At 49.2% G+C, this 26,888-nt stretch overlaps 1 long non-coding RNA gene and 2 pseudogenes across 2 annotated transcripts; 2 read left to right on the forward strand and 1 right to left on the reverse strand.

Annotated features, from left to right (window-relative positions):
• The first annotated feature begins 20 nt into the window (after nucleotides 1-20).
• LOC124902610 (uncharacterized) lies at nucleotides 21-25,959 on the forward strand. Of its 2 annotated transcripts, none has more exons than XR_007062549.1 (3): nucleotides 21-204; nucleotides 25,161-25,394; nucleotides 25,757-25,959. It is a non-coding gene; the product is annotated as an uncharacterized LOC124902610 (long non-coding RNA). The 2 variants fall into 2 exon arrangements; XR_007062550.1 differs by having other exon boundaries at nucleotides 25,161-25,376.
• Nucleotides 13,823-14,223, forward strand: RPL36AP39 (ribosomal protein L36a pseudogene 39; annotated as a pseudogene).
• Nucleotides 23,893-25,492, reverse strand: LOC390029 (actin beta pseudogene; annotated as a pseudogene).
• Nucleotides 25,960-26,888: the final 929 nt, after the last annotated feature.

A 26,888-nucleotide genomic window follows, 5' to 3' on the forward strand; every position in this document is an offset into this window, starting at 1 on the left:
CATGGGGGTGCTGAGCTGGGGGCAGGGCCCTGCCCAGAGGCAGATGCTGAGGCCTCCACTTCCAGTCCTGGAGGGACCCCAAGCCTCACAGTGAGTGCTGCGGATGCAGAGCCCTCGTCCCTCGAGTTACCCGGCATTATACCACACACCTCTCTGCATCATGCTAGCAGGAAGCACTGCTCTGTGACAGACAGAGGACCCCAGGTGTGTGGCTTCACGTGGGTTACTCACCTGTCTGAGCCTTAGTCTCCAATCTGTAAAATGGGATGGTAGTGTCCATCCTCATGGGCAGGGCGGGAGCATGGTGGCTGGTGTTCCCCATGTTACCTGCCCCTCTCCATCCCCTTCTCCATCCCCTCTTCATCCCTTAGTCTCCAATCTGTAAAATGGGATGGTGACTTCCATCCTCATAGGCAGGGTGGGGGCACAGTGGCAGGTGTTCCCGGTGTAACCTGCCTCTCTCTGTTGGCTCTGGACCGCTTGGCAGCCACACAAGGAAGCCCAGGACTCTTTGCCCCTTGGGCCATGGAGGACACACAGGTCGTGGGAGAAGCCTGGCAACCAGGCTAGGGAGCTCATTCAAGGCAGGGAAGATGACTTCCAAGAGGAGGCCAGCCAGAGGGTGGGGAGCCTGCTGGGGAAGGCAGGGCCCCAGGGGAAGAGTGCCCGGGCAGGGGCCCCCAACACAAGCAGGGGCAGGGAGGCCAGCACGCCATCCTGCTGGCTTGGCCAGACCGAGGGTGTACAGGTGGAGGTGAGCTGCAGCCCTGGAGGCTGGACAGGAAGGTCGAGGGAGGCTGGAAGAGCCTTGAATGCCACGGTGAGGGCATCTGAGTCTGTTCACAGGCCATCAGGTGGGTGGTGCTGGGAGTGTTGGCAAGCAGGCTGCTCTCTCTGGGTCCCACGTGGGACATGCTATAGCCCCTCACTCGCTCACCCCACTGAGTTTGCAGGGACTGCGCCCCTCTCTGGGCGACACCTAACACGGGAGAGTGCAAGCTGGGCAGACGGAAAGGGGGTTCTCGGGGTCCGTGGCTCCCCCTGCTCCTTGTGCGCCTAGGCTGGGTCCTCTTGGGAGGACCACTGCCAGGCAGGAGGCAGCCCTGCTCGTGGCTCTGTACCGTGCTCCCAAAGTCTCCACCGAGAGCACCCAGCAGGGTCCTGTCTGCAGAGTGCAGGCCCTCACCTGCCCGGGCCTTCGCTGCTGTTTGCCAAGGGTTTGTGCTGCACGTTCTGTGGCCAGATGTGATGTGGATGCTGTGATGAACAGGACAGACAGAAATCCCTGCCCTCCAGGAGCGAATAGTAGGGGGTGGGAGACATGGGGGACGTAGTACCAAACACAGGGGTGGTGACTGGAAGAGCAGCAAAGGGGAAGGGCGGGACCACTTCTGGGGATGCCTGGGGTCCGGGTAAGGATGCGGAGGCAGGGAGGAAGCCAGCCTCCTGCCCGGCGGGCACAAATGCCCCAGGCCAGGGGTACAGGCGGGCAGGTGCCGGAGCGCACAGAGGAGGGAGCTGCACCCTGCAGGCTGCGCCTTGAGTGTCCCATGGGGAGTCTGCAGGGCTGAGAACAGGAGGGTGAGGACAACCTCAGCAGGTTGTCGGGGCCACTGGCACTCGTTGAGAGAAGGGTGTGATGGGGCGCGGGAGACGCAGAGAAAGAATATGGGGTGGCTGGGTGGGGTGTGGTGGCTGACAAGGCAGGGTGAGGTGGCAGATTTTGCTGGTGGGCTGGATGGGCGGAGGTGGTGGTGATCGGGGGAGGGTGAGGAAGAGCCTGTCTGAAGGGGATGGTCAGAACTGCCAGGGGCGACTTGCTGCTAGGACCCCAGCGCATGGCCGACGGGCAGCCGGACGCAGGTCTGAGGATGGAAGGAGCGCCCTGGCTGAGATGCGCGTGGGACCCCTTAGCCCAAGAGGATTTCCAGCCTGGAGGATTTCCGGGGTCAGCAGGAAATCACAAGGGGTCAGGGTGGACACAGAGGTGGCAAGGAAAAGCTGGGGAGGGGACAAAGCTGGAGACAGAGCAGCCATCGGGGAAAGGAGGATGTGTGTGGAGTCCTGGGGCCAAGCACAGGAAGGGCTCCCAGAAGCGACCGGGGAGCTCGTCCGCACTCTGATGCCCCTGACACGGCCACATGCAGCCCTCAGGACCTTGCTGGGGCAGCTCCGAGTGGCTCAGGTTTGAAGGAGGTGGAGAGGAGGTGCCAGGAGCTGGTGTCTGAGGCTGACTGTCTCGGGGAGTGTGGCTGGGAAGGGGCAGGGGAGCGACGTGGTGGCCAGGATGCTCTTAAAGCTGCTGGAAGGATCTGGCAGCGGGAGGAGTAATCCCTGCAGGTGTGAGGGTGGCAGCTGTGATGCTGGGAAAGATGTTCCCTAATCCAGTGGGGTGCGGCAGTCAGCACCGGGAGGCAGAGGCGAGGCCGTGGAGACCACTGAGGGCGTCTGCAGCATCCCTGGGCCCAGACCTCAGGCCCTTGGCCTGCAAGAGAAACCCCCCGGTAGTGGAAAGTTCACTCCCTCCCTGAATGTCATGCACCAGCGACCGCTGAAGCCCAAGTCCAGGTGACCTCTGAGCATATGATGTGAGGGGCCCTTCCTGTGGTCTGCAGGCCAGCCAGTGACTTCCTTCCCCTTCTGGAGGTGGCTCCCGCAGCCATGTGCTAGGGTTGTCATGTGAGGCTGGCCTAGGCTTCCAGGCCCTGAGGCCACAGCACCATGCCACGTCCCCAGCTCTGCGGCCTCTCACCCTGGTCCAGGCAGCCCCTCTTGTCAGCCTCAGCCGTGCAGCCTGCACACACAGCCTGTGCCTCTCAGCTGGACGGCGGCTCTTCCATGCCCTTTGGCAGAGGCTCCACCCATCTGTGCAACTGCCTGGCCTCTGTTGCAGGTTCTGCCCACACAGGCAGTGCCCTCCTGCCTCTTGGGCCTGGCTGAGCCCGTCCTTCCACTGCTGAGACCATGACAAGGGGCGTCCACCCTCAGCCAGGACGGACCTCCCATCCCAGGGTGCAGACAACATATGGGAGCCACGTCACAGCTGTTTCACCGCTGGGAGCTGTTACCTCCCAGGGGGCTGTCAGCTGCCCAGGTCCCGAGGGTGTGAGACTGTGGCTGAGGACTCAGGGGGCTGGGGCATAGGAGCTGGGAGGGTGACATCACAGGGCCCAGAGGGTCCATGTGGAGACCAAGGCGAGGTTCCAGTGCGGTCCCAGCAGCAAGGAGGGAGATGCTGGGAAGGCGGTGGCCCCTAAGGGTCACCAGCAGATGGTGGCCACCAGCCCCTCACCGGTGCAGTCGGCTTCATGCCCCCAAGTCCTTTCTTACTCGCTGCCTCGTCTCATCCCCCCAGGCCCCAGGGAGCAGGCAGGGCCTTGATCCCTTGCCCCAGATGAGAAAATCCTGATGCTCACAGAGGAAGTTGCAAAAGGACAGTGCAACACCTCCCAATCTTGCTTTTTTGCTGCCTGTGCAGTTTTGCAAAAGTCACATCCCTGTTGGGGTGACGGGCGGTGTCCCTGCTGTCCCCCTACAGTCGTTGTGGGTCCTCCTCCCCTGTGCCCTGGACACAGCCCTAGTGGACAGAGGGCTCTGGTCCCCGCCCCACACTCCCCCATGGGCAGGATGCCGTTCTAGCTAGCAGCCCCCTCCCCACAGTGGCTCATACTTGGGCCAGGGATGCCCCTCCTCTGTATCCTCATCTGGGAAAACCCCAGTGCCCCAGGGGTGCCAGCCACACACCACTGCCTGCCCTGAAAGAGAAGGCGCTTGCCGCAATGCCCAGCAAAGCAGGATTATCTCCCGACCTCTGTGGGTCCGGCCTGCGGCGAGTGGAGCCAGGCCCCTCATCTCACCAGGGAGCAGGGCAGGAGTCCCCCTTCACCCCATCCTCCTGTCTCTGGACCCCTCAATAGTACCCAGCCTCTGCCCACGGCCCCTCCACGTCTTTCCCTGCCCCTTCCTGCTACCCAATCCTTTGTTCTTTTGCTGGGCTGAAAAGGGTCCCCGAAGATGTCTACATTCTAATCACCGGGACCTACGTGACAAAGGGGCCTCCAGATGTGGTTAAGTCGAGGCACATGGGATGGGAGATTGTTCTGGAATATCCGGACAGGCTCAGGGCAATCACAAGCATCAGGATAGGAGCTGGGGAGGGTCAGAGCCACAGGAGACTAGAAGATGCCACTGCTGGACTTGAAGTCGGAGGAGGGGACCGTGAGTCAGGGAATGCTGGCGGCCTCTGGGAATGGGAGACACAGGGAGAGATGGATTTGCTTTTAGAGGCTCCGGAAGGGAACCGCCCTGCAGGCATCTTAATGTTAGCTCCTTGAAAACCACGTGGGACTTGTGACCTCCCAAACTGCAAGATGATAGATTTACGTTGCTTTAAGCCACTGTGTTTGTGTAATCTGCCACAGCAGTTAATTAGTCAGAGACTAATACAGACCTTGTGCCGGGTGACCAGCTGACCTTTGTAAAACCGAAAGTCCTGCCGTCTGGGCACCTCTCAACCGCAGGGACTGCAGTCACTCCACGTATTCCACTCTTTGTTCCTCTCCTGCCTTAAGCCCCGACTCATGGACCTCCCCAAGTATCCACCCCATCGCCTGGCAGAATGTCGTGTGGAGAGTGCTGAGGATGGGGCATCCGCTCCACCTTTGACAGAGACAGAAACTTGATCCCATTTCACAGCAAGAAGACAGAGGCAGGGCAGGTCCAGCAGCCATGAAGTCACGGAGTCAGGATTTTCACCCTGTGCCTGGCACCCAAGCTGGAGCTCCCACCCATCCCAAGTGACGTGGTGGGCAGGAGTCTCCCCTCCCAGCCCAGGGCCCCCAGCCTGCTCTGGCCCTAGGCCCCCACAGCCCCCATCCCTGGCTGGGCCCTGGTGGTCACTCTTCCTCAGCTCTCCCAGGCCCCTCTGGCTCCTGTTTTTATCCTCCCTAGCTTGGTCACTAAGCAGAGCCCCCAGGTCCAGACTCAGGAGTCCTTGGCCCGGGGCCCAGCCGCACCTGCCCTCCAGGCAGAGGAGGGAACCAAGATGCCCAGCAGGCATCTCCACAGAGGTTCCACCCACTCCCTCACTGGGGGAGGAGATGAGAGTGGCCGTCTCTCCCTTCCCAGCCGCTGGTGAGAGCAGAGCTGGGGCTGATGACTCTGGTGGCTCCCCCACAGCACCCCACACTCAGGCTGCCTGGCACATCCCAGTCTGAGGTGGGCAGCACCGCCAGAGGCAGCCTCAGCGGCCTCGTCCCTGGGCCCAGAGACACAAGCAGCATCCACAAGGGCCTGAGGGTGGCCCTGCGTCCTGTGCTGCAGGCTCTTGCTGGCCCCACCCACGCTCCACCCCAAATGAACCCCAATTCTCCCAGCTGACCCTGGCTGTCTGCCGTGCTCAGGACGCTGTCCCTCCTCCCCACCCACATCCGTTCCTGCCACCTTTGCCGCATCACCATCGGCCGCCCAGGATCAGCAGGGTCCTCCTGGTCCCCAGCTCCGATGGGCCCACCGCAGAGTTATACATGGACTTAGCGATGGACTCAGCTAGCTCTCGGAGGTTCGTTCGGAAAAGCAGCGGGTGAATTTGCTTAGAGCTGCCCGAACAGAGACCACAGACTGCGCAGGTTAAACAACAGACATCGATTTTTTCACATTCTGGAGGCTGGAGTCTGAGATCAAGGTGTGGGCAGGGCTGGCTTCTCCTGGGGCCTCCTTCTCCCTGTGTCCCCACAGGGCCACACCTCTGTGTGCATCTGTGTCCTAATTTCCACTTTTTACAAGGACACCAGGCCTATGGGATTAGGGCCCACCCTGAAGACCTCGTTTTAACTTGTTCACCTCTGTAAAGACCCATCTCCAAATACAGCTGCATTCTGAGGTCCTGGGGATCAGGGCTTCAACACATGAATTTTGGGGGACGTGACTGAACCCCTAACAGGGCCCCAGTACCCTCTGCCTGGCTTTCATGCCCACATCCCGAGGTAGCCAGGCCTTGCAGCAGATTCTCCCTGCACTCACCGGCACCCTGGCAGGCGGACTGGCACCCCCTCTGTGTTGTTTCCGTCTCAGACAGTGATTTAACTCCCTTCTCACCACAAACACCGCACCTTCCCAACCCCGCTTCTCCCAGACCCCTTCTCCTGGCAGGTGCCCACCTGGGCCCACCCATCCTCTCTCCTCTGCAGAGCTGGGGCCCTTACGGTTTGCTCACCATGGTGCAGTCGGCAGAGGTACTCGTTTAAAGGCTTGTCTGATCCCATTGCTCTGCCCCGGGACTCTCTGTGATTTCCAGCGCACTTGGCTACGGGAACAGAGTTCTGGGGCCCAAGGTCCCTTGTGGTCTTGGTCCCCTGCTGACCTTGGTGGCGCCCGCTCACCCCAGGAACTCTTCCCCACGTGGCCTCTGCCCAGCGAGCGCTGACCCTCTGCCCAGCTCGCTGTCTGCGGACGCCTCCTCCCAGTGCACTGACTGCTACTGTCCCACAGATCCGGCCCCAGATGCTGCTCCCAGAGGAGCCTCCCCAGTCCCTCAATGAGGCTGGGTCTCCCCGTAGCCCAAATCAACCTCTGGTGCACTTCTTTTGAACCATCTGACCCCATTTTTACTGTTGCCAGCTTAAGTGGTTAAAACTGTTTTTTACCTTTTTTTTTTTTTTTTTTTTGGAGACAAGGTCTCCCTCTATCGCCCAGAGTGGAGTGCAGTGCTGTGATCATAGTTCACTGCAGCCTTAACCTCCTGAGCTCAAGTGATCCTCCCATCTCAGCCTCCTGAGTAGCTGGGATCACAGACATGCACCACCACGCTTGGCTAATTTTTTAATTTAATTTTTTGTACAGACGGGGTCTCACTATGTTGTCCATGTTGGTCTCAAACTCCTGGTCTCAAGCAGTCCTCCTTCCTCGGCCTCCCAGAGTGCTAAGATTATAGGTGTAAGTCACAGCACTCAGCCTTTTTATCATTTTATTTGAAGTATAATGGGCTACTTAGACCCTGGCGGTTCCGTCTGACTATAACGGGGTTGAAAAGTTTCCGTCGCCTAGTGCCGTCGTAGGCCTCCTAAGGCTGTAGCACAATGAGCTGCCTTCTCTGTGTTTAGATACACAAATGCTTACCATTGTGTTGCCTGCAGGATTCAGCACAGTGCCCAGCCCTGCAGGCCTGCCCCCTAGGAGCAGTAGGCTGTACCGTGCAGCCTGCGTGTGTGGCAGGCCACACCATCTGGGTTTGTGTAAGTGCACTCTGCAATGTTCTCACAACCATGAAATTGCCTTAGGACACGTTCCCCCGTGGTTACCCGGCGAATGACTGGATAACAGATGGACAATCAACTGCATTTGCCTAAAGTGTGCCACTTGACCGATTTTGAGACCTGTGCACACTGTTGAACGCATCTCCGCGGTCGAGATCATGAGCTTCCCTCCACAGCCTCCGCTGTGACACGTTGACCATCCCTCCCTGTTCCCCCCTCTTCCCCACCCCCAACCCTGCCGGTTCCTAGAAAACTACTGTTCTGCTTTCTGTAGATGAGTTTCCATTTCTAGAACGTTATATAGATGAAGTCAGACGGCACGTGCTTATTTTTTTTCTGGTTTGTTTCACTCGGCGTAATTATTTTAAGATGTAACCATGTCACTGCATATATCAGTGTGTTCAGCATGATTATTTTGAGATGTATTTGTGTCATGCATGTGTCTATGTGTTCACTTTCTCTCGGCTGCTGTCACAAATTGCCACACAGTGAGTGGCTTAAAACAACACAAATCTATTAACCTTACAATTCTGGAGGCCGGAATTCTGAAGAAGTGGGTCTCCCTAGGCCAAAATCAAGGTGTCAACAGGAATGACTGTGCTTTCTCTGGAGGCTCAGATGGAAAATCCATGTCCCTGATCCTCCAGCTCCCAAGGCTGCCTGCATTCCTTGGCTGGCGGCCCACCTCCATCTTCAAAGCCAGCATTGGCCGGGCTGGTCCTTCCCACATCCCGGCACTCTGACCTCCTCTTCTGCCTCCTTCCATTTTTAAGCACCTTGTGATCACATTGCTTATTCAGATCATCCAGGATAATCTCTCTATTTAAGGTCAGCTGCTTAGCAACCTTAATTCCCTCTGCAACCTTAATTCCCCTTCAGCATAAACCTAATATATTCCCAGCTTCCAGGGATTAGGGCATGAGCATCTTTTGGGGGACCATTGTTCTGCCTATCGCAATCAATACCTCCTTCATTATGATTGCAGAATAGTGTTCCATCACAGGCACAATCTGTTTCTCCATCTAACTGTTCATGGCATTTTGGGAGGATTCCAGTTTTTGGCTATTACAAGTGAAGCTGCTAGGAACACTCACATACAAGTCTGTGTTGACACCTGCTTTTGCTTCTCTTGTGTAAATATCTAGGAGTGGGTTTGCTGGGTTGCATGGAAGATATGTGGGCAATTTTTTTTTTTTTTTTGAGATGGAGTCTCATTCTGTTGCCCAGGCTAGAGTGCAATGGCACGATCTCGGCTCACTGCAACCGACGCCTCCTGGGTTCAAGCGATTCTCCTGCCTCAGCCTCCCAAGTAGCTGGGACTACAGGCGCCCACCACCATGCACGGCTAATTTTTGTATTTTAGTAGAGATGGGGTTTCTCCATGTTGGCCAGGCTGGTCTTGAACTCCTGACCTCACATGATCCGCCTGCCTTGGCCTCCCAAAGTGCTGGGATTACAGGCATGAGCAACCGCACCCAGCCTTTCCTTTTCTTTTTTTTTCCTTTAACAGTGTTTGTTGTGTTTAATAAATCTTTGCTACACTCAAGATCAGTAAGATTTTCACCTATGTTTTCTGTTAGAAGTGTTATAGCTTTATCTCTTCCAATAAGGCCTATCATCCATTTTGAGTTAGTTTTTGTGTATCACGTGAGGTAAGGGTTGGAGTTCATTGTTATGACTATCCAGTTGTTCCAACATCATTTGTTGAAAAGCCTTTTCTTCATTTAATTGCCTTGGCAATTTGGTTGAATTCAGTTGTCCATACGCATGTGGATCTATTTCTGGGCACTCTATTCTGACCCATTTATCTATTTGTGTGTCTTTATACCAGCACTGTACAGCCTTAACTATTATTATTATTATTATTTTTTGAGACAAAGTCTCCCTCTGTCACCCAGGCTGGAGTGCAGTGGCCCCATCTCGGCTCACTACAACCTCCGCCTCCCAGTTTTAAGTGATTCTCCTGCCTCAGCCTCCTGAGTAGCAGGGATTACAGGTGCACGCCACCACACCAGGCTAATTTTTGTATTTTTAGTAGAGACAGGGTTCCACTATGTTGGCCAGGCTTGTCTTGAGCTCCTGACCTCAGGTGATCCACCCGCCTCAGCCTCCCAAAGTGCTGGGATTACAGGCGTGAGCCACCATGCCTGGCCTGATTTTAGTTATTTTAGATATTTTGTATTTTGATACACATTTTAAAATCAGCTTGTCCATGCCTGGTGTGGTGGCTCACACCTGTAATCCCAGCACTTTGGGAGGCCGAGGCAGGCGGATCACAAGGTCAGGAGATTGAGACCATCTTGGCTAACATGGTGAAACCCCGTCTCTACTAAAAATACAAAAAACTTAGCCGGGCATGGTGGCAGGCGCCTGTAGTCCCAGCTACTTGGGAGGCTGAGGCAGGAGACTGGCATGAACCTGGGAGGCAGAGCTTGCAGTGAGCTGAGATCGCACCACTGCACTCCAGCCTGGGCGACAGAGTGAGACTCAGTCTCAAAAAAAAAAAAAAAAAAAAATCAGCTTGCCCATTTCTAAAAAAAAAAAACAAAAAAAAACTGTCTTGAGATTTTGATTTGGATTGGGTTGATTCTACAGATCACTTTGGGAACAACTGACATGTTGACAATATTGATTCTATCCATGAACACTGTATATCTCTCTCCATTTGCTTAGTATTTTACTTTTGCTTAGTGTATTTAGAATGTCAGAGTACAAGTCTTGGACATATTTGTCAAATTTATCCTGAAATATCTATTTTCAATTTTCTTCTAAATGGCCGTTTTAAACATCAATTTTGGGCTAGGCACAGTGGCTCATGCCTGTAATCCCAGCACTTTGGGAGGCTAAGGCAGGCAGAGCACCTGAGGTCAAGAGTTCAAGACCAGCCTGGCCAATATGGTGAAACCCCTCCCTACTAAAAATACAAAAATTAGCTGGGCGTGGTAGTGCACACCCGTAATCCCAGCTACTAAGAAGGCTGAGGCAGGAGAGTTGCTGGAGCCCGGGTGGTGGAGGTCGCAGTGAGCTGAGATTGTACCACTGCACTGCAGCCTGGGTGACATGGCAAGACTCCTTCTCAAAAAAAAAATAAAAAATATAAAATCAACTTCGAATGTTCGTCGCTGTTATATAGAAATACAATTGATATTTGTCCATTGACCTATCCTACAACCCTGCTAAACTAAGTTATCAGTTTTAGTAACTTTCTCATAGATTTTGTAGGTTTTTCTTCAACAATGATCATGTCTTTGGAAAATAAAGACGTTTGTGTTTCCTTTTCAATCTGGATAAATTTTGTTTTCTTTGCACTGGCTAAACCCCAGTGAATGTTGAATGGAAGTCGTGAGAGCAGACATTCTTGTCTTGTTCCCGACCGTAGGAGAAGAACATTCCTTTTTCACCATTCAGGATGATGCTCGCTGTAGGTTTTTCTATAGTTTTATTTTTTAAAATCAGGATGAGGACATTTCCTTTTCTTCTCTGTTTGCTGGGAGTTTTGATCAGGAATGGATACTGGATTTTGTGAAAAGCTTTTTCTGAACCTGTGGAGATGTTCACAGGCATTTTCTTTTTCAGTCTGTTAATATGGTGAATTAAATTCATTGAGGTTTTTTATTTTTTTTATTTTTATTTATTTATATATTTTTTGAGGCAGAGTCTCACTCTGTTGCCCAGGCTGGAGTGCAGTGGCACAGTCTCGGCTCACTGCAAGCTCCACCTCCCGGGTTCACGCCATTCTCCTGCCTCAGCCTCCCGAGTAGCTGGGATCACAGGTGCCCGCCACCATAACCGGCTAATTTTTTGTATTTTTTTGCTTTTAGCAGAGACGGGGTTTCACCGTGTTAGCCAGGATGGTCTCGATCTCCTGACCTCGTGATCCACCCGCCTCGGCCTCCCAAAGTGCTGGGATTACAGGTGTGAGCCACCGCGCCCGGCCCTCGTTGAGTTTTAAAACATCATAAAATAACCTGGCATTCCCAGGATAAATCTCACTTGGTCATGAGTATTATCCTTTTTATAGATTTTGGGGTTTGATTTGCTAAACATATGCCTATTTCCCATCTGTCGATCCTCTCTGGGGGTGGAGGACATCTGCTTGTACCTTTTGCACCGTCTTACACGGACTTTTTTAAGTTACTGAATTTTAAGGGTTCTTCATGTATTTTGGATTCAAGGTCGTTATCAGACATGTGTTTGACCAAAATGTTCTCCCAGTCTGTGCCTTGTGACTCCATTCTCTCAGCAGTGTCTTTTACACCGCAGAAGTTTATAATTTTAATAAGTCCAACTTATCACATCTTTTTTCATGGGCCATATTTTTGGTCCTGTATCTAAAAAGTTCCTCATCAGCTGGGCATGGTGGTGCATGCCTGTGGTCCTAGCTGCTCGGGAGACTGAGGTGGGAGGATCACTTAAGCTCAGGAGGTTGAGGCTACAGTGAGCTACCATCACACCACTGCATTCCTGCCTGGGCAACAGGGCGAGACTGGATCTTAAAATGAAACAAAAAAAGTCATCACCAAACCCAGAGTCAATCAAACTTTATCCTACGTTATCTTCTAGGAGCTTTATAGTTTTGCTTTGCTTATAGGTCCATGATCCATTTTGAGTTAATTTTTGTGAAGGGAGGAAGGTCTATGCCTAGATTCTTTTTTCCCCTTCATATGTCCAGGTGTTCCAGCACCATTTGTTGAGATGATTTTCTTTTCTCCATCGAATTGCCTTTACTTCTGTGTCAAAGATCAGTTGATTATTCTATTTCTATGAGCCTATTACCTCTGTGCTTTCTATTCTGCCTGTTGGTCTGTCTATTCTTTTGTCTTCGTTACTGCAGCTTTGTAGTACATCTTGAGGTGTAGGCTCAGTCCTCCAACTTTGTTCTTCTTCAATATTGTGTTGGATAGTCTGGATCTTTTGCCTTTTTATATAAACTTTAGGATCTGGCTGGGTATGGTAGCTCATTCCTGTAACCTCAGCACTTTCAGAGGCTGCGGTGGGAGAATTGCTTAAGGCCAGGAGTTTGAGACCAGCTGAGCAACATAGTAAGACTCTATCTCTACAAAAATTAAATTTAAAAAAAGGAAAAGGAAAAAACAGAATCTGTTTTTTTAATCACAAAATAACTTGCTGGGATTTTTATTGGGATGCATCGAATCTACAGATGAAGTTGGGAAGAACTGATGTACTGACGATATTAGGCTTCCTATTCATGAACATGAACTCTCTCTGTATTTATTTAGATCTCCTTTGATTTCTTTCCTCAGAGTTTTGCAGTTTTTCTCATATGGATCTTGTACTTTTTTTGTTAGATGTATACCTAAGTATTTCATCTTGAGGTGCTACTGAAGGTGGTAATGTGTTTGTAATTTTAAATTCCAATTGCTTATTGCTGTTTAATTTACTTTTTTTTTCTTTTTTTGGAGGTGGAGTCTCGCTCTGTTGCCCAAGCTGGAGTGCAGTGGCGTGATCTTGGCTCACTGCAACCTCTGCCTCCCAGGTTCAAGCGATTCTCCTGTCTCAGCCTCCCAAGTAGCTGGAATTACAGGTGTGTGCCACCACGCCTAGCTAATTTTTGTATTTTTAGTGGAGACAGGGTTTCACCATGTTGGTCAGGCTGGTCTCAAACTCCTGACCTCAGGTGATCCACCTGCCTCAGTCTCCCAAATTGCTGGGATTATAGGCATGAGCCACCATGCCCAGTCTGTTTCATTTACTTTTAATCTATTTGTGTCTTTATGTTTTAAGCAAGTTTCTTATAAGCAGCATATAGTTAGGTCATACTTTTCTTACTTAAAATCTAATTTGACTATTTCTTTCTTTTAATCAGGGTTTTTAGACCATGAAACCATTATTGATAGGTTGAATTGAAATATACCACCTTGTTTTCGTTTTCCATTTGCCCCATCTGTTCTTTGTTCTCTTCTGCCTTTTAAAAATATTCAGTGTATTTTATGATTCCATTTTATTTTCTTTGATGGTTTCTTAGCTACACCTTTGTGCTTTGTTATTTTACTAGTTGACTCAGGGCTTATAGTGTATATGTGTATTTACCTTATCACTCTCCACTTTCAAGTAATAGTAGTCTACTTTATGTATTGCATAAGACCTTTACAACCGTGTACTTCTACCTGCCCCTCCCCAGACTCTGTGTTCTTGTTGCCATACATTTTATTTACTTCATATTATAAGCTTCAAATTATGACCAGGCGCAGTGGCTCACACCTGTAATACCAGCACTTTGGAAGGCCAAGGCGGGCGGATTACTTGAGGCCAGGAGTTCAAGACAAGCCTGGTCAACATGGTGAAACCCCGTCTCTACTAAAAGTACAAAAATTAGCTGGCCATGGGGGCGCCTGCCTGTAATCCCAGCTACTTGGGAGGCTGAGGCAGGAGAACCACCTGAACCTGGGAGGTGGAGGTTGCAGTGAGTGGAGATCCTGCCACCGCACTCCAGCCTGGGCAACAGAGTGAGACTCTGACTCAAAAAAAAAAAAAAAAGCTTCAAATTACATTCTTATTATTTTGTTTTAAACAGTCAGTTATCTTTGAAAAAGATTTGAAAAATCTCTTTTCCGTGCCGATAGTGCTCACGCAAACATGGTGAAAGTCCCGAAAACCCGTCGGACATTCTGTAAGAAGTGTGACAAGCACCAACCTCACAAAGTGAGACAGTACAAGGACGGCAAGGATTCTCTGTACGCCCAGGGGAAGTGGCGTTATGACAGGAAGCAGAGTGGCTATGGTGGGCAGACTAAGCCGATTTTCCGGAAAAAGGCTAAAACTACAAAGAAGATTGTGCTGGGGCTTGAGTGCATTCAGCCCAACTGCAGATCCAAGAGAATGCTGGCTACCGAAAGATGCAAGCATTTTGAACTGGGAGGAGATAAGAAGAGAAAGGGCCAAATGATCCAGTTCCAAGTGCCATCTTTTATTATGAAGACAATAAAATCCTGAGTTTATGTTCACTTCAAAAAAAAAAAAAAAAAAGAAAAATCTACCATTTCTGGTATTTGTCTTTGCTTTGTATAGATCAACTTCCATCTAGTATAATTTTCCTTCTGCTTGAAGGATGTCCTTTAAGAATTTTTTTGTGTGTGTCTGCTGGTTATGAAACCTTTTAGCTGAAAAAAAAAAAGATGTTTATTTTACTTTCATTTTTGAAGAATTTTTTTCTGGATATAAAAACTCAAGTTGACAGTTTTTTAATTTTCTTCCAGAACTTTAAAGCTGTTGCTTTACTGTATTCTAAATTGTGGTGTTTCTGGTGAGATGCCTGCTGTCATTCTCATTTGGTTTCTCTGTATGTGATGTATCCTTTTTCTACGGATGCTTCTTTCAAAATATTTCCTTTGGCACTGATTGCTGGGTTGAAGCAATTTAATCATGATGTGCCCGCCTGTCGTTTATTCATGTTTATTGTGCTTGGGGTTCATTGGAATTTTTGAATCTGTGAGTTTATAAATTTTATGAAGTTTGAAAACATTTCAGCTAGCATTTCTTCAAATAATTTCTGCACCCCTCCTTTGGGGACTTTCCATTACATGCATGTTAGCCTGTTTGGAGTGGTCCCACGGCTCACTGATGCTTTGTTCATTTGTATTTGATGGAGTTTTTCTTTTAGTCTTTTTTCTCTCTGTGTTTCTTTTTTTCTTTCTTTTTTTTTTTTTTTTTTTGAGACGGGGTCTCGTTCTGTTGCCCAGGCTGGAGTGCAGTGGTGCGATCTTGGCTCATTGCAAGCTCTGCCTTCTGGGTTCAAGCCATTCTCCTGCCTCAGCCTCCCAAGTAGCTGGGACTACAGGCACCCGCCACCACGCCCAGCTAATTTTTGTATTTTTAGTAGAGACGGGATTTCACCGTATTAGCCAGGATGGTTTCGATCTCTTGACCTTGTGATCTGCCCACCTTGGCCTCCCAAAGTGCTGGGATTACAGGCGTGAGCCACCATGCCCAGTTTTTTTTTTTTTTTTGAGACAGAGTCTTGCTCTGTCACCCAGGTTAGAGTACAATGGTACGATCTCAGCTCACTGCAACCTCCGCCTCCTGGGTTCAAGCGATTCTCCTGCCTCAGCCTCCCAAGTAGCTGGGATTACAGGCATGCACCACTACACCTGGCTAATTTTCTTTTTTGTATTTTTTTGGTAGAGATGGGGTTTCACCATATTGGCCATACTGATCTCGAACTCCTGACCTTGTGGATGCACCCACCTCAGCCTCCCAAAGTGCTGGGATTACAGGCATGAGCCACTGCACCCGGCCTTTCTATCTGTGTTTCATTTGGATAGTTAGTTTTCCAATCTGCCATCAAATTCACCTAGTGTGATTTTTGTCTCAGGCATTGTAGTTCTTATTTCTAGAAGTCCTTGGGTGTTTTAAGAATATTTTCCTTGTCTCTTTTTAACATAAGTATCCTTTCTTTTAACTTCTTGGACATATAAAATACAATTATAATAAATGTTTTAATATCTTATCTACAAATTCTTTCATTTTATCATTTGTGAATCTGCTTCTATAGATTGATTTTTCTCCTCACGATGGATCATATTTTTGTGCTTTTTTGAATTCCTGTTTATTTCTGATTGGATGCCAGGCATTGTAACTTTTACCTTGCTGGGTGCTGGATACTGTTGTATTCATGTAACTATTCTTAACGTTTGTTCTGGGATGCAGTTATGTTTGGCCCTTCTAGGTATTACTTTTTTTTTCTTTTTTTCTATTTTTATTTTCTTTTTTCCCTCATCTTCTTTGCGATGGTATGGGTCTTACTTTTAAGCCTTGTCATGCAGAATAAAAGCAGCATCTAGTCTAGAGCTAATCTTTCTTCTATTAAGGCAAAACCTTTCTGCGTAGTCTGCTCAATACCTTATGAATTGTGCAGTGTTTCCCCTCTGGTGGTGAGTGAGCTCTGAAGAGTGTTCCCGTATCTCTTTTGGGAGGTTCCTTCCCAGTTTGGGGTGGTTTCCTCCAGTGCCGGCACTGATCACACCTGGAAGTTTGAAGGGAACTTCTCCAGGTCTCCGGGATTCTCAATCCCTGTGCTCTCCTCCTTGGTACCTTGCCCTGCCAACCCCAGGTGTCTTTTTTTTTTTTTTTTTTTGAGACGGAGTCTCAGGTCCAGGCTGGAGTGCAGTGGTGTGACCTTGGTTCACTGCGATTCTCCTCAAGTTCAAGCGATTCTCCTGCCTTAGGCTCCAGAGTAGCTGGGATTACAGGTGCGTGCCACCACGCCTGGCTAATTTTTGTATTTTTAGTAGAGACAGGGTTTCACCATGTTGGCCAGGCTGGTCTCTAACTCCTGAGCTCAAGTGATCCACCTGCTCCAACTGTAATCGTCACTTGATTCGCTCCCCTCTCTCGAGGACCACTACCCTGCACGCTCCCCTCTCTCACTACCAAGCACCATTGGATGTCCCATGTCTGGAGAACACTTTTTTCCCCATGTATTTTTTTTAAACTTCTGTTTCTTTGTTTGCTTGCTTTAGGGTGGGGGTAAATATGGCCCCTTCTTTATTTTTATTTTTATATTTATTTATTTATTTTTGAGACGGAGTCTCCCTCTGTCACCCAGGCTGGAGTGCAGTGGCGCGATCTCGGCTCACTGCGAACTCCGCTTCCTGGGTTCATGCCATTCTCCTGCCTCAGCCTCCCCAGTAGGTGGGACTACAGGCACCCGCCACCGCGCCCAGCTAATTTTTCGTATTTTTAGTAGAGACGGGGTTTCACCGTGTTAGTCAGGATGGTCTCGATCTCCTGACCTCGTGATCCGAAATACGGCCCCTTCTACTTCACCTTGGCAGGAACCAGTCATTTTCTAGACAGTTATAATTTGAAAATGAGATGGTTTTGTTTCTCTTCCCAATTTTTTGTTTCCTTAGAAGGTTTTCAAGTTTAGGTTCTAACTCTCTCAGGAACAGGGAAAGCCAGACTTTGCTTGGTTGAATCTGAATCTAATTGAGATTTACAGTGAAAGAACTCAGAGAGACGAGTTTTTGTAGATTAGGTACAAAGGAAAATGCTTCCAGCAGGTAGACAACATGTTCCTTTTTTTTGTTTTGTTTTGTTTTGACGGAATCTCACTCTGTCACCAGGCTGGAGTGCAGTAGTGCGATCTCGGTTCACTGCAACCTCCATCTCCTGGGTTCAAGCGATTCTCCTGTCTCAGCCTCCCAAGTAGCTGGGATTACAGGCGCACACCACCATGCCCGGCTAATTTTGTATTTTTAGCAGAGATGGGGTTTCTCCATGTTGGGCAGGCTGGTCACCTCAGGCGATCCACCTGCCTCAGCCTTCCAAAGTGCTGGGATTACAGGCGTGAGCCACTGCACCTGGCTGACATGTTTCTGAGAAGCGGGAGAGAGATTAATCTATCACTTCCCTTGGTGTTCAGGGAGGATTTTAATCTGCCAGCGACCGGCTCCAGGCTAACATGTTGCCTGCTCAGGCCCTAAGTTCACCTCCTGACACATCCTGCATAGATCATCCTCCAACATACAATCTAAGACACCATCGAGCTTAACAAAAGATGAGTTTGAGCACAAGGAAGTTACATCCCTGCCCTTGGGCGGTAGATATGAATCAATTTGAAATCCTTAGAACCAGAGCAAGAGTTCAAGGGCTCTGTTCCTGGCAGTGACTTGACTGGGCTTGAGAATCTGAGCCCAACTTAGCCACACTGGAAGATGTAAGCAAACCTAACACGTGTCACCCAGATCCTATCAGCCTTCAGCGTCACTCAGGAGGGACACTGTCACCCAGATCCTATCAGTCTTCAGCGCCACTCAGGAGGGACAGTGTCACCCAGATCCTATCAGCTTTCAGTGTCACTCAGGAGGGACACTGTCACCCAGATCCTATCAGCCTTCAGCGCCACTCAGGTGGGACACTGGGCCTGCTCGAACACACAGAGGAAGGGTGTCAAGCTCAACCTGTCCTGCAACGTGCTAGCGATGAGAATGTCCACCAGGTTTCAGGGAGGCAGGGAAGGGAACCGCGGAAGCAATTGCTGCCAGTAGGAGGAGTGGCCATGCTCTAGATCTGTTTTCAGACGAGAGCTCACTGGATTTGTTGGTGATGAGGCCTGGGGTGTGTGGGAAGGAACAGAGTCAGAGTCTATGACCGGAGTGTCTGAAGAATGGAGCTTCCATTTGCTAAGCTGGGGGGAATCCTGAGAAACAAGCAGGTCGGGTGGTGGAGAGCATGTTGGATTTTTTGTTTCGCTTTTCTTTGTTTTTTCTTTTTGAGATGGTGTCTCACTCTGTTGCCTAGGCTGGTGTGCAGTGGCATGATCTCAACTCACTGCAACCTCTGCCTCCCGGGTTCAAGCGATTCTCCTGCCTCAGCCTCCCGAGTAGCTGGAATTACAGGCGCCCGCCACCACGCCCGGCTGATTTTTTGTATTTTTAGTAGAGACAGGTTTCACCATGTTGGCCAGGCTGGTCTCGAACTCCTGACCTCCGGTGATCTTGCCCGCCTTGGCCTCAAAAGTGCTGGGATTACAGGCGTGAGCCACCACACCCACTCATGTTGGGTTTTTGCTGGAGTTGTCCAAGTGGCAATGTCAAACAGAGAATGAGATTCCCAAGTTTTGTTCAGGAAGGAGGTACAGGCTGGATTAAACATTTGGGAGTCAGTGTACACATGGAATTTAAAGTCCTGGGAATGAATCAGTTCCCTAGGGACAGAGCAGGACCAGAGAACAGGCTAAAAGAAGAGCCAGTTAAGGTGGCATCACCAACTGGAAGAAGATGGGGGTTCACAAAACGGCAATGGGGCAACTCTTTAAGAGCTGGGGGAAAAGCAGTTTGTATCTTGCAACTCACACCAAAATAAATTCCCAAAAGATCAAACATTTAACAATAACAAGTAGAACTATAAAAAGAATACAGCCAATAGTGGTGGCAGTAGAACCGAGTGGCTGAGAGTGGGGCTCCGGAGCCAGAGACTGGGCTCAACCCTTGGCTCTGCGTGCACTAGCTCTGTGCCTTGTGCAAGCCCCTTGTCGGCCTCCTCTGTCGGGGGAATAATGCATGTGTGTTAAGCAAATTTTTTTTTTTTTTTGAGACAGAGTCTTACTCTGTCGCCCAAGCTGGAGTGCAATGGCATGATCTTGGCTCACTGCAACTTCCACCTGCTGGGTTCGAGTGATTCTCCTGCGTCAGCCTCCCGAGTAGCTGAGATTACAGGTGCCCACCTGCCACTACGCCCAGCCAATTTTTGTATTTTTAATAGAGACAGGGTTTCACCATGTTGGTCAGGCTGGTTTCGAACTCCTGACCTCAAGTGATCTGCCTGCCTCGGCCTCCCAAAGTGCTGGGATTACAGCTGTGTGCCACAGCGCCCGGCTGTGTATTATGCTCTTCGAATGGCCTGGTGCGTGTGGCTCACTAGATGTGAGTTTGCTTTGTAGTTACTGTTGTTTCGGCATCTCAGGGTGGGGAAAACCTACATATGACACTCAAACCCAAAAGCCAAAACTTGGGAAAGTTGATGAATTTGGTTACATACAATTAAAAAATATATTCTGCATTAAAAAAACCCACAACAGGCAAAGCCAAAAGACTGCTGATAAACAGAATATACAACAATCGTAGAAAAGGAATTAATTTCCCTAATATTTGAGGAGCTCCTGTGAATAATTTTAAAAAGCTCTAAAAACCCAAAGGAAATATTGGCAACAGAGACCAGCCAAAATTCAGAAGAAAGGAAATACAACTGGCCTGAAACGTACAAAGAGACGTTCAGACTCGATGGGAATGAAAGGAAAGATGAGGGATCGCTGAGAGGGCATTCGCCGCCTGCCAGAGAAACAAACAAACAAAACTCCAAACAAAGAAGCAAAGCTGTTAACACACATCCATTTGTTGAGTGAAAGTCTGGGGAGAAATCATGGGTGCATTGCTGGAAGATTATACCAGGAAACAACCTCTATGGATAGAATTTGATGAAATTTACTGAGTCTCAGGTACACATAACTTTTGACACAGCACCTCTAGGATTTCGGGGCGCAGACGCACTTGTACATGGGAAAAATGATGTGTGTAAAGTGTTATTCATTGAAGCACTGCATAGGATGGCAAGAGGTTGGAAAGGCCTAACCATGCACCCTAAAGCACTAGTTAAATACACTCAGGTGACCCGTGCAGTTGAGTACCATATCGCTATCATAAACATAAAGTTAAAAGGCTTTTATGTATTCACAGACAATGATCTCTGGAAACGGATTTTTAAAATTTATTTTTATTTTTTGAGACAGAGTCTCACTCTGTCACCCAGGCTGGAGTGAAGTGGCGCGATCTCAGCTCTCCGCAACCTCTGCCTCCCGGGATCAAGTGATTCTCCTGCCTCAGCCTCCCAGGTAGCTGGGACTATAGGCACTCACCACCACGCCTGGCTAATTTTTTTTTTTTTTTTTTTTTAGTAGAGACGGGGTTTCACTATGTTGGCCAGGCTGGTCTCCAACTCCTGACCTCATGATCTGCCCGCCTCGGCCTCCCAGAGTGCTGGGATTACAGGAGTGAGCCCCTGCGCCCCGCCGAGACAGACTGTTAAGGAAAAAAAAAAAGTGTGGCACAGAATAATTGTATATTATGGGCTGAGTGCGGTGGCTCATGCCTGTAATGCCAACACTTTGGGAGGATCACTTGAGGTCAGGAGTTCAAGACCAGCCTGGACAACAAGGCGAAACCCCGTCTCTACTAACAACACAAAAAATTCGCCAGGCATGGTGGCAAGTGCCTGGAATCTCAGCTACTTGGGAAGCTGAGGCAGGAGAATTGCTTGAGCCCGGGAGGCGGAGGTTGCAGTGAGCCGAGATCACACCACTGCACTCCAGCCTGGGTGACAGAAATTCTGTCTCAAAATAATAATAATAACAATAATAATAATTGTATATTATGATACAATATGCATAGAAAAGAATTTGAATAATGTATTTTAATTTTTCTTTTATGTAAAGGATATCTCAGGATGCACACAAATGAACGTGGGACACAGGCCTCTCCGCGGGGGGTGAAGGAGTTCCTACTGTCAACCCTTCTCAGCTTAGGGTCATGTGAACAGACTTACTTGTCAAAAGCAATACATTTAATTTTAAACATGTTTAGAGAAAATCCGTTCATAGATCAAAGAAGAAAAAACATATGATCATCTCATGGGCAATAGAAATTCTCCAGATAAATTCAGTATCTATTCATTATTTTTAAAAATGAATGTAATAGCCAACTAGACATCGCAGGGAACTTCCCCAACCTGGTAACAGCTACCAAAAATCTATGGCAAACGTTACACTTAATGGTGAAATATTAAAAGTATCCTTTCAAATCAAGAATATAACAGGAAGCCAGGTGCGGCGGCTCATGCCTGTAATTTCAGCACTTTGGGAGGCCAAGGCGAGCGGATCATGAGGTCAGGAGTTCGAGACCAGCCTGGCCAATATGGTGAAACCCTGTCCCTACTAAAAATACAAAAATGAGCCGGGCATGGTGGTGCACATCTGTAGTCCCAGCTACTCAGGAGGCTGAGGCAGGAGAATCGCTTGAACCCAGGAGGCAGAGGTCTTGGTGAGCCGAGATCGCACCATTGCACCCTCCAGCCTGGGCAACAAGAGCGTAACTCTGTCTCAAAAAAAAAAAAAAAACAAAAAAAACACAAGAACCTGTGTCCCTGTCAGAAGCAGTCACTGTGTCACAGAATAGCTGCCTTTTGTGTTGGTTCAAGGCACACACCACCCCCAGATGCTATCTTCATTCCTACTTGTTCACTTTTTTTTTCTTATACTTTAAGTTTTAGGGTGCATGTGCACAACGTGCAGGTTTGTTACATATGTATCCATGTGCCATGTTGGTGTGCTGCACCCATTAACTCGTCATTTAACATTAGGTATATCTCCTAATGCTATCCCTCCCCCTCCCCCCAACCCACAACAGGCCCCGGTGTGTGATGTTCCCCTTCCTGTGTCCATGTGTTCTCATTGTTCAATTCCGACCTGTGAGTGAGAACATGCGACTTGTTCACTTTTGATTGTTTTCCACACTGGAATGGAAGCTCCCTGAATGTTCACGGAATTCCCAGAGTCTCCGAGAGCTTGGCTGGAAGACGTTCGTGGTAACATCATCTTGAATAAGACATTGCCCCAAATTTCCTCAAGTATGTGACCTTACTTTTAACATAGTTTCTAATATCACGTCATTCTTATGATATCAATATATCTCCTTATATCAGTCTAAGTTGATCAGAAAACTATGCTGCCTGTCTCAGGATGTGATTAGCTAATATTTTATTTAGGATTTCTGCCTTCAAAATAAGACCGGTCTGTGACCTCCCTTTCTTACGCTGTCCTTATCTAATTTCTGTACTGAAGTTATGCTAGCCTCCTAAATGAATGGAAAAAAAAAACACAACAGCCTAAGCCTATTTTTATGCTGACTTGAAGAGTTGTGTAAGGTTGGACCTTCTGTTCTTTGACTTTTTCCTCCTTATGGTCACACTCTGGCTTCATTTATTCAAGGTGGTATTTATACTTAGGTTTTCTTTTTCTTCTTTGGTTGGTTTGTGTGTTATCTTTTTCCATGAATTTATTCATTTCAGCTACAATTGCAAATTGTTTGGCATATAGTTGCTCATGGCCTCCTCTTAGGACTTTTTAAAACTTTGGCGGCCTTTGGACTTGCAGCTCCTTTACACTCTTCTCTCTCTCTCACCCTCTCTCTCCCCTGCCTCCCTCCTTGATCAGTCTTGATTTGTCTTAACAGTTTGTCTTTATTAACCTCTTCACAGAACTAACTTGTGAATCATGGAAGCACTTCTAAAAGGTCTTTGTTTAGAATTTCATTAATTTTTATTGTATTTTTAAAAAATGATTTCCTTTAATTCCACGGGGGCCCGTGGGTTATTCTCTTTTTTCTTTCTCTTTTCTTTTTTTTTAAGGTGTGCACTTTTATTCAACTGGTCTAAGTCAGTGTACGGGTAGGCCCTGGCTACCTCCACCCACTCCCAGGGAGACCAAAAGCCTTCCTACATCTCAAGTTGGGGGACAAGAAAGGGGGGCCACAAAGGCTGATCATTCAAAATAAAACAAAATAAAAAAGTATTAAGGTGAAGATTTAAAAAATGTTGCAGACCAGGCACAGTGGCTCATGCCTGTAATCCCAGCACTTTGGGGGGCCGAGACGGTTGGATCACGAGGTCAGGAGATCGAGACCATCCTGGCTAATACGGTGAAAGCCCATCTCTACTAAAAATACAAAAAATTAGCCAGGCTTGGTGGCAGACAGACCCCTGTAGTCCCAGCTACTTGGGAGGCTGAGGCAGGAGAATGGCGTGAACCCGGGAGGCGGAGCCTGCAGTGAGCCGAGATGGCGCCACTGCACTCCAGCCTGGGCGACAGAACGAGACTCTGTCTCAAAATAAATAAATAAAATTTAAAAAAATTGCAATACATAATTTACACAAAAGCAATACTATCACCTCCCCTAATGTAAATATATGGACGTCTTCCAGCCAAGCTCTTGGAGTAAATATAAAAATAGGCTGTTTTTCTCCCCCTATTCATTTTAGGAGGCTAGCATAACTTCAGTACCAAAATTAGCTAATGGGCTCAGGAGAGGACTGGACCATTCTCCTTAGAGAGAAGTGGGGTGGCTTTTAGGAGGGCAAGAGACTTCCTGTGACATTGCATCTCACGACATTTGGAATGACTATTTAAAAAAAAGATCAATGTATAATCAAAGTCCTCGGCCACATTGTGAACTTTGGGGGATGCTCCCTCCAACCGACCGCTGTCACCTTCACCGTTCCAGTTTTTAATTCCTGAGTCAAGCCAAAAAAAACAAAAAAATCAAAAACAAACAAAAAACAAAAAAAAGCCACGCCCATCTCATCTTGTTTTCTGCACAAAGTTTTGTCAAGAAAGAGTGTACCACAGCTAAGTCCAGTCTGCCTAGAAGCATTTGCGGTGGAGGATGGAGGGGCCAGGCTCGTCATACGCCTGCTTGCTGATCCACATCTGCTGGAAGGTGGATGGCGAGGCCGGGATGGAGCCGCTGATCCACGCAGAGTATTTGCGCTCGGGAGGAGCAATGACGTTGATCTTCATCGTGCCAGGCGCCAGGGCGGTGATCTCTTTCTGCACCCTGTGGGTGATGCTGGGGTGCATGCTGGTCCCTCCAGACAGCACTGTGTTGGTGTACTGGTCTTCGAGGATGTCCATGTCACACTTCATGATGGAGTTGAAGATAGTTTCGTGGATGCCACAGGATTTCATGCCTGAGGGGGAAATGAGGGCCAGCCTCAGCTTCCACAGCATGGCCCCGAGGGTGACCTTCCTGTGGGCAGGGCCAGGAGGGGGTCTCCACTCACCCCGGAAGGAAGGCGGGAAGGGCTCCTCGGGGCAGCGGAACCGTTCGTTGCCAGTGGGGATGACCTGGCTGTCAGGCAGCTCATAGCTCTTCTCCAGGGAGGAGCTGGTGGTCGCCGTGGCCACCTCCTGCTTGAAGTCCAGGGCAACATAGCACAGCTTCTCCTTAATGTCACACGTGATCGCCCGCTCGGCCGTGGTGGTGAAGCCGTAGCCATGCGCAGTGAGATCTTTGTGAGGTAGTCAGTCTGGTCCCGGCCAGCCGGGTCCAGACACAGGATGGCATGGGGGAGGGTGTAGCCCTCATAGATGGACACTGTGCAGGTGACCCCGTCGCTGGAGTTCATCATGATGCCAGTGGTATGGCCAGGAGTGTACTTGGACAGCACGGCCTGGATGGCCACGTACATGGCCGAGGTGTTGAAGGTCTCAAACATGATCTGGGTCATCTTCTTTCTATTGGCTTTGGGGCTCGGGAGGCCTCGGTCAGCAGCACCGGGTGCTCCCGCAGCTCGTTGTAGAAGGTGTGGTGCCAGATCTTCTCCATGTCATCCCAGCTGCTGATGATGCCATGCTCGATGGGGTACTTCAGGGTCAGGATGCCTCTCTCGCTCTGGGCCTCGCCACCCACATAGAAGTCCTTCTGACCCATGCCCACCGTCATGCCCTGGTGTCTGGGGCACCCCACGATGGAGGGGAAGACGGCCCAGGGGGCATCGTCGTCGGTGAAGCTGGCCTTGCACATGCCAGAGGTGTTGTCTATGACAAGCAAGGTGATATTATCATCCATGGTGAGCTGGGTGGGTGTGGACAGACGGCAGGTGTGGAGGGCGGCGGGTGTGGAGGGCGGCGGGTGTGGACGGGCGGCGGGTGTGGACGGGCGGCGGGTGTGGAGGGCGGCGGGTGTGGAGGGCGGCGGGTGTGGACGGGCGGCGGGTGTGGACGGGCGGCGGGTGTGGAGGGCGGCGGGTGTGGAGGGCGGCGGGTGTGGAGGGCGGCGGGTGTGGACGGGCGGCAGGCGTGGAGGGTGGCGGAATGGGCCAGGGCAAGGCTCTGTGCTCACAGGGCGGACTTGGTCTGGGCCTTTCCTCCTTTTTCTAACTTCATAAGTGAGATGATTAGCTCATTAATTCCCACCTCTCCTCCTTTCCAGCTTAAAGCTATTGGTTTTCCTGGAAGCGCAGTCAGCCCTCCATATGTGCCTGTTCCACACTTGCGGATTCTACCAACTCCAGGTGGAAAACACAGTTTGACAAAGGCTGTGTCTGCACTGAATATGTCCATGTTCTTTCCTTGTTATTGTTCCCTAAACAATACAGTATAGCAACTATTTATGTGGCATTTACATCACATTAGGTATGGTAAGTAACCTAGAGATGATTTGAAGGAGACAGAAGGATGTGTGTAGATTATATGCAAACACAATAGCATTTCACATCAGGAACCTGAGCGCCTGTGGATTGGGGTATGTGTGGGAGGTCCCAGAACCTGTCCCCACTGATCCTGAGGGACGAATGTGCTGTTTGAGCAGCATCCTCAAGCTCTGATAGTATTTTCTGCTTTCATTATGCATTAGTTCTGAATTTTATGTAATTTCCAAGATGATTTATCCTTTGACCTCCAGCTATTTTAGAATGCCCTTTTTCATGTTAAAAATGCATGTTAGATCATCTTGTTGTTGTTGTTTTGGTTTTCTAATTTATTTGCAATCTGATCAGAGACAGGGGTCAATATGATACAAATTGATTGACATTTATGAGACTTACTTTATGGGCCAATAGGTAGTCAATTGTTACAAAGCTGAGCCTGGGCAGAACTCGAACTCTCTAATGGTTGGATCCTGGCAGCTCCATTGGTCTGTTAGATCAGGCTGGTAAATTATCATCCATATCAGTTTGGGCTCCAGAAATTGCAAGTGGCTGATGTCAGACTAACTCTCTGCAGAAAACAATGATAAATTCTGGACAACCTATTTTTAAAAACTATTTAAAGGAACTGGTGAGCCATTGAAACCAGGCAGAAACTGATGGGGTTCAATGTGAGGGAAAAGGCTGGGTCAAGGTCACATTTTTGGGGTTTCTGTCCCAAAGGCACACTCCAGCCCCCTGAGCCAGGCAGCGGGGCTTCAAGCAGCCAGGGTGAATTTCACTGGAGTTGGGGGTCAGAGGATGAGGGGGTTGGGGTGAGAAAAGAAATCTCAGCTAGGAGGGAGCTACAGGGAGGGGACACCCAAATCTTCATCTAACTGATTCCAAATCCTAGGCCTCTAACCCCCAAAACCAAAT

The sequence above is a fragment of the Homo sapiens genome, chromosome 11 (assembly GCF_000001405.40).
Source record: "Homo sapiens chromosome 11, GRCh38.p14 Primary Assembly".
Classification (NCBI taxonomy): domain Eukaryota; kingdom Metazoa; phylum Chordata; class Mammalia; order Primates; family Hominidae; genus Homo; species Homo sapiens.